The sequence below is a fragment of the Homo sapiens genome, chromosome 8 (assembly GCF_000001405.40).
Source record: "Homo sapiens chromosome 8, GRCh38.p14 Primary Assembly".
Taxonomy (NCBI): domain Eukaryota; kingdom Metazoa; phylum Chordata; class Mammalia; order Primates; family Hominidae; genus Homo; species Homo sapiens.
In genome coordinates, this window is record NC_000008.11 from 69,119,505 (window position 1) to 69,127,763 (window position 8,259).

Genomic DNA, 8,259 nt, shown 5'->3' on the forward strand with positions numbered 1-8,259 from the left:
TATATTGTTTTTTGTGTATTTTTTATAGTGGTTGTTCTGTGTGTTACTGTATATATGTATGACAAATAATTCCTCTACTGATATCAATATTTTAACACTTTATTTTACCTTTGCCACTTTAAGTACCATTGTCTTGAGTCTGAGATGATGTTAAACTTTTTGTTTCATTCATAAAATATGATTTATAAAACTCATGAGGAAAAGGATAGACTATTACGTGTAGCTATACTTCTTTTTATTCCTCCTTCTTTCCTAGTGCTCTAAGGTTCTTTCTCTTATCATTTCCTTTTCATTTTAAGAATTTCCTTTCATCAACCTTTAACAGTAGACCTGCTGGCAACACACTCTTTTTGTTTTCCTTCATCTGAAAAAATATTTATTTTGCCTTAATTTTTGAAGTACACTTTTGTTGAATGTAGAATTGACAGTTGAAAGTTATTTGCTTTTAGCCTTTTTGTTCTCTGTGCTTTCAGATGAAAGTTCATCATCACTTGAATTGGTGTCCCTATAGGAAATGCATTGTTTCTCTATGGCTGCTTTCAATATATATTTTTTTTGTCTTCAGTTATTTTTAGAAATTTATTTATGATATGTCTTGGCACAGGTTTCTTTGAGTTTATTCTATTTGAGATCACTCAGCTTCTTGAATCTGCAAGATTATGTCTTTTGCCCAATTTGGGAAGTTTTTAGCCATTATTCCCTTGAATACTCTTTCAGGTTCACTTTCTCCCATCCTGTGGGCTTCTAATACAACACATGATGGATCTTTTGATTTTGTCCCACAGGTGTTGGAGGTGCTATTTTTGTTTTCTGTTTGTTTGTTTATTTTACAGTCTGCATTCTCCCTGTTGTTTGGATTGGGATAAATTTTATTGATATGTCTTTAAATTCACTGATTCTCTCCTTTGTCATATCCACTCTAATATTAAGTCCATTCGGCAAATTTATTTTTCCATTATTATGTTTTTTGGTTCTTTAATTTCTATTTGGTTCTTTTTATAATTTCTATTCATGACTGGGTTTATTTTTATTTGTTTCAAAAGAATTTATAATTGATTATAGCAGCATGTATGTGGGCTGCTTTAAAATCCTTTTCGAATAATTCCAAGATCTGACTCATCTCAGTATGAGCCTTACCTTTTGGTGTTGATTGCCTTTTCTCCTTCAGCTTGATTTTCTTGTATGAGACATGATTTCTTGGTATTTTGTATGTTATGTTAGCCTCTGGATCTTATTTATATCTTGTATTTTAGCAGGCAGTCACACCGTTTATGTTGATTACAAGGTCCTGGCCTCCTTTTGTAGACTATGATTTCAAGAGCAGTTCAATTTTCAGACCCTTTGCTTTGTTATTCTCATCTGCTTTATCTGATGCTACTATCACTCCTGGTGCTGCCTAACAGAGTAGAAGTAGCTTCACCAGTCTGGAATGCTGGGTGTTTCCAAGTAGGAGAGGGGAATCCCAGACCCATGAGAGCAAGTCAGTTCTCACTTTATTTTACTAGCCTTTCCAACAATATTTAATGCAGTTGATGATGCCATCCTTTAGAAACCCTTTCATAACTTGGCTTCTGAGATAACACTTTCTTTTGTTTTTTCTCACTGCTCACTTCTTTTAGTCTTGTCTGATAACTTTCCTTCTTCTCTTCAACTTTTAAATATTAAATAGCATTCAGAATCAGGGATCAAAAAATTTACCTTCACTTTATAGGTGATCACCCAAAGGTTAATATTTTTTTTTCCAATGGTTTGTGGGGAAAGGTGGTGTTTCATTACATGGATAGGTTCTTTAGTGGTGATTTCTAGATTTTGGTGCACCCATCACCCAAGCAGTGTGCACTATACCCAATGTGTAGTCTTTTATCCCTCACTCCCTCCCCCACTCCCCCCAAACCCCAAAGTCCATTGTGTCATTCTTATGTCTTTACATCCTCATAGCTTAGCTTCCACTTATAAGTGAGAACATATGACATCTGGTTTTCCATTCCTGAGTTACTTCACTTAGAATGATGGTCTCCAACTCCATCCAGGTTGCTGCAAATGCAACCATATTTTCTTTATCCACTTGTTGGTTGATAAGCAGTTAGGCTGGTTCCATATTTTTGCAATTGTGAATTGTGCTGCTATAAACATGTGTGTGCAAGTGACTTTTCCATATAATGACTTCTTTTCCTCTGGGTGATTACCCAGTAGTGGGGTTGCTAGATCAAATGGTAGTTCTACTTTTACTTCTTTAAGGAGTCTCCGTACTGATTTTCATAGTGGTTGTACTAGTTTACTTTCCCACCAACAGTGTAAAAGTGTTCCCTTTTCACTACATCCATGCCATCATCTATTATTTTTTTCATTTTTTAATTATGGCCTTTCTCGCAGGAGTAAGGTGGCATCACATTGTGCTTTTGATTTGCATTTCCCTGATAATTAGTGATGTTGAGCATTTTTTCATGTTTGTGGCCATTTGTATATTTTCTTTTGAGAATTGTCTATTCATGTCCTTAACTCACTTTTTGATGGGATTATTTGGTTTTGGTTTCTTTTTTTGAGTTCTTTGTATATTCTGGGTATTAGTCCTTGGTCAGATGCATAGTTTGCAAATATTTTCTCCCATTCTGTGATTTGTCTGCTTACTTCGCTGATTATTTCTTTTGCTGTGCAGAAGCTTTTTAGTTTAATTAAGTTCCATCTATTTATCTTCGTTTTTGTTGCATTTGCTTTCGGGTTCTTGGTCATGAAGTCTTTGCCTAAGCCAATGTCTAGAAGATTTTTTTCTGATGTTATCTTCTAAAATTTTTATGGTTTCAGGTCTTAGATTCATCTTGAGTTGATTTTTATATAAGGTGAAAGATGGGAGCCAGTTTCATTCTTCTACATGTGGCTTTTCAATTATCCCAGCACCATTTGTTGAATAGGGTGTCATTTCCCCACTTTAGGTTTTGTTTTGATTTGTCAAAGATCAGTTGGCTGTAAGTATTTGGCTTTATTTCTGGGTTCTCTATTCTGTTCCATTGGTCTACTTGCCTATTTTTATACCAGTACCATGCTGTTTTGGTAACTGTAGACTTATAGTATCCTTTGAAGTCAGGTAATGTGATGCCTCCAGATTTGCTATTTTTGCTTAGTCTTACTTTGAATATACAGGCTTTTTTTTTGGTTCTGTATGAATTTTAGGATTTTTTTTTTGTTATGTGAAAAAGGATGATGGTATTTTCATAGGAATTACATTGAATTTATAGATTGATGTTGGCAGTATGGTCATTTTCACAACATTGATTCTACCCATCCATGAGCACGTGATGTGTTTTCATTTGTTTGTGTCATCTGCAATTTTTTTTTTTTTTTGAGACAGGGTCTCCCTCTGTCACCCAGGCTGGAGGGCAGTGGCTCAGTCTCTGCTCACTGCAACCTCCACCTCTTGGGTTCAAGCAATTCTCCTGTCTCAGTCTCCTGAGTAGCTGGGATTACAGGCACATGCCACCACGCCTGGCTAACTTTTTTTCGTTTTGTTTTTAGTAGAGACGGGGTTTCAGCATGTTGGTCAGGCTGGTCTCGAACTCCTGACCTCATGATCCACCCGCCTTGGCCTCCCTAAGTGCTGGGATTACAGGCGTGAGCCACCATGTCCGACCATCTATGATTTCTTTCAGCACTGTTTCACGTCCTTAGTTAGATATAGTTCTAAGTATTTTATTATTTTATTTTATTTTATTTTATTTTATTTGCAGCTATGGTAAAGGCATTGAGTTCTTGATTTGATTCTCAGCTTGCTTCCTGTTGGTGTATAGCAGTGCTACTGATTTGTGTACATTGATTTTGTATCCTGAAACTTTACTAAATTCATTTATCAGATCTAGGAGCTTTTTGGATGAGTATTTAGGGTTTTCTAAGTATATGATTATATCATTGGTGAACAGGAACAGTTTGACTTCCTCTTTACAGATTTGGATGTCCTTTATTTATTTCTCTTGTCTGATTGCTCTGGCTAGGACTTCCAGTACTAGGTTGAATAGAAGTGGTGAAAGTGGGCATCCTTGTCTTGTTCCAGTTCTCAGGCAAAATGCTTTCAACTCTTTCCCATTCAGTATAATGCTGGCTATGGGATCTTCATAGATGGCTTTTTAACATTAAGATATGTCCCTTCTATTGCTGAGGGTTTTAGTTTTAAAGTGATGCTGGATTTTGTCAAATGCTTTTCCTGCATCTGTTGAGATGATCATGTAATTTTTTATTTTAATGCTATTTATGTAGTGTATCACATTTATTGACTTGCTTATGTTAAACCATCCCTGCATCCCTGGTATGAAACCCACTTGATCACTGTGGATTATCTTTTTGATATGCTGTTGGGTTTGGTTAGCTGGTAATTTGTTGAGGATTTTTGCATCTATTTTCATATTGGGCTATGGTTTGTTGTTGTTGTTGTTATGTCTTTTCCTGGTTTTGATATTAGGGTGATATTGCCTTCATAAAATGATTTAGGGAGGATTTCCTCTTTGACTTTTGGAATATTTTCTATAAGATTGGTAACAAATCTTCTTTGAATGTCTGATAGAATTCAACTGTGAATCCCTCTGGTCCAGGACTTTTTGTTGGCAATTTTTTTTATTACTGTTTCAATCTTGCTACTTCTTATTGGTCTATCCAGAGTTTCTATTTCTTCGTGGTTTAATCTAGCAGTGTTGTATCTTTCCAGGAATTTATCCATCTCCTCTAGATTTTCTAGTTTGTGTGCATAAAGGTATTCATAGCGGTCTTGAATAATCTTTTGTATTTCTGTGGTATGGTTGTAGTATCTCCTGTTTCATTTCTAATTGGCCTTATTTGGATCTTCTCTCTTCTTTTCTTGGCCAAGCTTATGAATGGTATATTGTTTTTGTTTATGGTTTCAAAGAACCAGCTTTTTGTTTTATTCATCTTTTGTATTTAATTATTTCAATTTCATTTAGTTCTGTTCTGATCTTTGTCATTTCTTTTCTTCTGCTAGGTTTGGGTTTGGTTTGTTCTTGTTTCTCTAGTTCCTTGAAGTGTGAGCTTAGATTGTCTATTTGTGCTCTTTCAGACTTTTTGACATACGCATTTAATGCTATGAACTTCCTCTTAGCACTGTGTTTTGCTGTACCCCAGAGGTTCTGATAGGTTGTGTCACTATTGTTGTTCAGTTCAAAGAATTTTTAAATTTCCTTCTTGATTTTATTGTTGACTCAAAGATCTTTCAGGAGAAGATTATTTAATCTTCATATGTTTGTATAGTTTTTGAGGGTTTCTTTTTGGATTTAATTTTCAATTTTATTACACAGTAGTCTGAGAGAATATTTGATATAATTTTGATTTTCTTAAATTTATTGAGACTTGTTTTGTGGCTTACTACATGGTCAATCTTGGAGAATGTTTCATGTGCTGATGAAAAGAATGTATATTCTGTAGTTGTTGTGTAGACTATTCTGTAATACCTGTTAAGTCTAATTGTTCTAGGGTGGAGTTTAAGTCCACTTTTTTTTGTTGACTTTCTGTCTTGATGACCTCTCTAGTGCTGTCAGTGGAGTATTTAAGTCCCCCACTATTATTGTGTTGCCATCCATCTCATTTCTTAGGTCTGGTAGTAATTGTTTTATAAATTTGGGAATTCCAGTGTTAGATGCATGTATATTTAGGATTGTGATGTTGTCCTGTTGGACTAATCCTTTCATCATTATATAAAATCCCTCCTTGTCTTTTTTAACTGTTGTTGCCTTAAAGTCTGTTTTGTCTGATAGAATAGCTACTCCTGCTTGCTTTTGGTTTTGATTTACATGGAATATATTTTTTTCATCTTTTTACCTTAGGGTTATGTGAGTCTTCATGTGTTAGGTGAGTCTCTTGAAGATGACAGATACTTGGTTGGTGGATTTTTATTCATTCTGCAATTCTGCATCTTTTAAGAGGAGCATTTAGGCCATTTACATTCAATGTTAGTATTGAAATGCGAGGTACTGTTCTAGTCATCATGCTAGATGCTGCCTGAATATGGTTTTTTTTTTCATTGTGTTATTGTTATATAGATCCTGTGAAATTTATGCTTTAAGGATGTTCTATTTTGGTGTATTTCAAGATTTTGTTTCAAGATTTAGAAATCCTTTTAGCATTTTTTTTTGTGATGCTGGCTTAGTAGTGGTGAATTCTCTCAGGATTTGTTTGTCTGAAAAGGGTTTTATCTCTTCTTCCTTTATGAAGCTTAATTTCACAGGATACAAAATTCTTAGCTGATAATTATTTTGTTTAAGGAAGCTGTATTAGTCTGTTTTCATACTGCTGATAAAGACATACTCCAATTAAAAGACACAGACTGGCAAATTGGATAAAGAGTCAAGACCCATCAGTGTGCTATATTCAGGAGACCCATCTCACCTGCATAGACACACATAGGCTCAAAATAAAGAGATGGAGGAAGATCTACCAAGCAAATGGAAAACAAAAAAAAGCAGGGGTTACAATCCTAGTCTCTGATAAAACAGACTTTAAACCAACAAAGATCAAAAGAGACAAAGAAGGCCATTACATAATGGTAAAGGGATCAATTCAACAAGAAGTGCTAACTATCCTAAATATATATGCACCTAATACAGGAGCACCCAGATTCATAAAGCAAGTCCTGAGAGACCTACAAAGAGACTTAGACTCCCACACAATAATAATGGGAGATTTTAACACCCCACTGCCAACATTAGACAGATCAATGAGACAGAAAGTTAACAAGGATATGCAGGAATTGAACTCAGCTCTGCACCAAGCAGACCTAATAGACATCTACAGAACTCTCCACCCCAAATCAACAGAATATACATTATTCTCAGCACCACATCACACTTATTCCAAAATTGACCACATAGTTGGAAGTAAAGCACTGCTCAGCAAATGTAAAAGAACAGAAATTACAACAAACTGTTTCTCAGACCACAGTGCAATCAAACTAGAACTCAGGATTAAGAAACTCACTCAAAACCACTCAACTACATGGAAACTGAACAACCTGCTCCAGAATGACCACTGGGTACATAACAAAAAGAAGGCAGAAATAAAGATGTTCTTTGAAACCAATGAGAACAAAGACACAACATACCAGAATATCTGGGAGACATTTAAAGCAGTGTGTAGATGGAAATTTATAGCACTAAGTGCCCACAAGAGAAAGCAGGAGAGATCTAAATTTCACACTCTTAACATCACAATTAAAAGAACTAGAGAAGCAAGAGCAAAGACATTCAAAAGCTAGCAGGATACAGGAAATAACTAAAATCAGAGCAGAACTGAAGGAGATAGAGACACAAAAAACCTTCAAAAAATCAATGAATCCAGGAGCTGGTTTTTTGAAAAGATCAACAAAATCGATAGACCGCTAGCAAGACTAATAAAGAAGAACAGAGAGAAGAATCAAATAGATGCAATAAAAAATGATAAAGGGGATATCATCACCGATCCCACAGAAATACAAACTACGATCAGAGAATACTATAAACATCTCTATGCAAATAAACTAGAAAATCTAGAAGAAATGGATAAATTCCCGGACACATACACCCTCCCAAGACTAAACCAGGAAGAAGTTGAATCTCTGAATAGACCAATAACAGGCTCTGAAATTGTGGCAATAATCAATAGCTTACCAACCAGAAAAAGTCCAGGATCAGACGAATTCACAGCCAAATTCTACCAGAGGTACAAAGAGGAGCTGGTACCTTTCCTTCTGAAACTATTCCAATCAATAGAAAAAGAGAGAATCCTCTCTAATTCATTTTATGAAGCCAACATCATCCTGATACCAAAGCCTGGCAGAGACACAACAAAAAAAAAGAGAATTTTAGACCAATATCCCTAATGAACATCGATGCAAAAATCCTCAATAAAATACTGGCAAACCGAATCCACCAGCACATCAAAAAGCTTATCCACCATGGTCAAGTTGGCTTCATCCCTGGGATGCAAGGCTGGTTCAACATACACAAATCAATAAACGTAATCCATCATATAAACAGAACCAAAGACAAAAACCATATGACTATCTCAATAGTTGCAGAAAAGGCCTTTGACAAAATTCAACAGCCCTTCATGCTAAAAACTCTCAATAAACTAGGTATTGATGGGACGTATCTCAAAATAATAAGAGCTGTCTATGACAAACCCACAGCCAATATCATACTGAATGGGCAAAAGCTGAAAGCATTCCCTTTGAAAACTGGCACAAGACAGGGATGCCCTCTCTCACCACTCTTATTCAACACAGTGTTG

At 35.5% G+C, this 8,259-nt stretch overlaps 1 annotated feature.

Annotated features, from left to right (window-relative positions):
• Window positions 1,084–1,253: an enhancer, noted in NCBI's record as "experimental_103615 CRE fragment used in MPRA reporter constructs". NCBI's record gives its function as "activates a minimal promoter by MPRAs in K562 erythroleukemia cells, with activity observed for both the introgressed and non-introgressed 8:70032908 variant alleles {active_cell/tissue: K562}" and the evidence as "EXISTENCE:reporter gene assay evidence [ECO:0000049][PMID:34662402]".